The sequence below is a fragment of the Homo sapiens genome, chromosome 15 (assembly GCF_000001405.40).
Source record: "Homo sapiens chromosome 15, GRCh38.p14 Primary Assembly".
NCBI classification, from domain to species: Eukaryota; Metazoa; Chordata; class Mammalia; order Primates; family Hominidae; genus Homo; species Homo sapiens.
The window spans coordinates 61,729,511-61,732,729 of record NC_000015.10 but is presented as its reverse complement, the minus strand read 5'-3'; the positions used below and the strand labels follow the sequence as shown (position 1 = coordinate 61,732,729).

Sequence of the window (3,219 nt, the reverse complement as noted above, 5' to 3'; positions counted from 1 at the left end):
ACCCTGACATCATTATTTCATTTGTGTGTGTAAGAGCCAGCATCGTTCTGAAAATAAGAGTGCAGACACGCTATACTTACACACACACACACACACAAAAGAACATACTGTAGTAGATGCTTAATAAATGATAGATAAGGATACTTATTGTTATTAAACCTGTTGGCATTTTAAAATCCTTCTAGTAGACAATGTAGCATAGGACATGGAGCCTCTCGTCTTCAGGGTCTTCTTGCTTTCTACACTATGCGGTGGTATCTATGGTCTTTAAGCCTCAGTTTTCTTTCCCACTGAATGGAGATAGGAAAGATAACTTTCAGCGCAGTGTGAATTAAACAGGTAAAACATATAAAGCCCATAGACTAAAGCCTGGTACAAAGTAAGAGCTCAATCCATATTAGTTGTTTCTAAGTGAAATAACTTAGAGATGGAAATATCTGCCCCTAGGAAGCTACAAAAAGAGGTTTATACCTGTTCATCAGTAAGGCTTCCATGACGTAGAAAGGGAAGGCACAGAATCACAAATCATAAAGGTCAGCATGGAGCATTTAGTTATTATCTTCACTTCTGTGTGCCTGATATTTATTTGCACTATATATTCCCTATTTTTCCCCCTTGAATAGCCTCCTCCTAAAAGACCCTGCTTTGCTCTGTAGTTTGGTTAAGACAGTCCCTAATCGATTTTACATATACTGCTCTTATGTTGTTTTAAGATTAGAGTGAATTTCAGCTGGCAAGGGTTTTCATGATTGCTTGTAAGTTCTATCCATTCATAATATGGCTGAAGTGAAGAGAAATGTAACCAGTAGTTTAAAGTTAACATGGTACGAGGCTAATGGGGCACTAATTGAGTAGTGAACGCCTAATTAGGAATCACGGAGGGCTTGAGCTGGCATGTGGCGAGTGAAGGTTCCCAGTGAATGCTGAGTTGTGGATTTTGGAAAAAGGACTAACTAAGCTTAGACGTGTCTACACTCTTCTTGCAGCCCAATGGGCCTTGTCATTCCAAATTTTCTTTGCAAGTGGCAGCTTCTGGGAAAGAAATTCTTATTTGTGGGCTTGAAAAGGTGGTAAGACAAAGTGCTCCCTCTCCTCCTCCACCCCCCACCAAGGATGAAGAGGACAAGCAATTGATTTCTGAGGCAGGCGATCTCTAAATGATTGTGTACTCCCTGATAATTTGGGGAGCTGCTAACATTTATGGAAATGGGAATATATTTAAATTCAAACATATAATTTCTAGCTATTTCCAACCTCCCATATGTGTATCGCCAAAAGTGAATTTTGAGAGCAGTAGTGGGAAAATACTGCCTGGGGATAAAGAAAAGTTACTGCAGGAGTCTGGTTTCTATATTAATTTATTTCACAATAAGAGCAAATTCCTTTCCCTAGGGGAGTATTTGACAGAGTAATTGCACTAGGGAACAGTCACTGTTTCATTTCGTTTTCTTTCTCTCTTTTAAACTTTCTTTGTGAAGCAGAGTGTCATAAATCTTCCTGAAAGAGCAGCTTAAGCAAGATATGTGGGCCGTGAGATACAGGTTTTATTTGTGTGTGTGTGTACAAGTATATGATGAATATATACACATTCACTCATTCATTGTTGGATTTCAGAATGACATTTTCAACAATTAAAAGTGAAAGTTAAAATTTTTGAGATTAGAGGTACTATGAAATGCATCTTTCCAGATTTAGAGAGGGTAAGAGAACACATGCCATCTACATATTACTGATCAGGAGCAAAAACCATAGACCTAAGCTTGACTTGCATTGCTTCTGACCCAAGTAGTAATGATTTTCTTATAAAGATTTGTAAACATTTCAGTTGTATCTATAATACAAATTTTAGTCAACAAACTCCTATACCTGTGATGGTTTTAATGGTCAATATCCAGTTATTAATTAAAAAAATGCTTAAAGGTAGACAGATCTGAGAGGCATGTCTTTCTGAGCTCTAGCGTTTGATTGAGAACTGGGCTCCAGTATCCTGTAAAACGCAGCAGCCTCCTGGTTCCAGACTCCTTCGCACCATCCCCAGGGTCTTAGTACTGTCACAGGCTCTTGTTAAGGTCTGGAAAACCTCTAATAAACTCAGCTGCACCAAGGTTTAGAGACTGAAGATGCTGTTCCTCCCAGGAGCATTTGTAGCTGCAAAGACAACACAAGCCAGAGGGACGGATTCCACTATTAGAAACATGGAGTTTCATGCGTGAGGAGGATGTATTTCAGGATGGGAGGTTTTCTGGCATACCTCAGTTATTATCATGAACAAAGCATGCACGTAATGCTCACATGCTGCATTCTGCAAGGAAAACGAATGTTTACAAAAATAAAAGCATTACAAAAAGTTTAAAAAGTAAGAGAGGTAATCAAAGGCACCAAAAAAATAAGAAGAGAAAAATAAATTGATTCTAAAGGGAGGAATAACAGTTCAAACAGACATTACATTATGATATTATTACCATTATTTTCATTACTACAAAGACAATATAACACCAAGAAAGTTAGGAAACTGACAAAAATAGTTTTCATACTCCTTTTCCCAGTAGGAAAATTACTCTTTTTTAAAAAATTATGTTCCAACAATCTCATTTTCTAGATTAAGAAACCGTTATTGAAAAAATTAACTCATGTGCTGATGATTACCCAGGTCAGACAGAACTCACCAAGACTGACAAACAGGACCTACTTTTAAGGAAGCGTTATAAATTATTTTGGAAAGTACCTTGCTGATTTTCAGGTGCCATCAACTCATGCCAGCCTGTGTCCAATAAAGACTCCATGATCGAAACATTGCATTGGATTGCATTCTCTCTGGCTTACAATAGGAATGAGAATCCTTTATGAGCATCTCCATAGCCCTAGAACAAATTATGAAAGGAAAACTGGGACAGATGCCAGCATTCCTAACTCAAAGCCCAGCTCATCCCCTTCTGCACTTTGCTACTTTTATTGATTGAATTGTTAAGTCTAGAATGGATGCTGTTCATAGTTTTCTCTGCATGATTTGTCCTTTTAGATAAGGGTGGTGCTTCTTTTCATGGGAAAATAAGTTTAGGTTGGGAACAAAAAGGAGCAGCTCTGTGGGGAAGTTAATATTATGACCTTTGATAGCAGACGAGACTATCAGAAGGTTGAGTGGGGAGACTGAGTCAGGCCCTGACTTAGGCCTTCACCCTTCCAAAGCCCATGCTGTCAAACACTATGTCAAGGCAGAAA

The 3,219-nt window shown here is 38.4% G+C and overlaps 1 long non-coding RNA gene across 1 annotated transcript; it reads right to left on the bottom strand.

Moving 5' to 3' along the window:
• Positions 1-1,340: 1,340 nt before the first annotated feature.
• LINC02349 (long intergenic non-protein coding RNA 2349) lies at positions 1,341-2,812 on the bottom strand. Its single transcript, NR_146448.1, has 2 exons — positions 2,726-2,812; positions 1,341-2,148 (listed from the first exon to the last, which is right to left on the bottom strand). It is a non-coding gene; the product is annotated as a long intergenic non-protein coding RNA 2349 (long non-coding RNA).
• Positions 2,813-3,219: the final 407 nt, after the last annotated feature.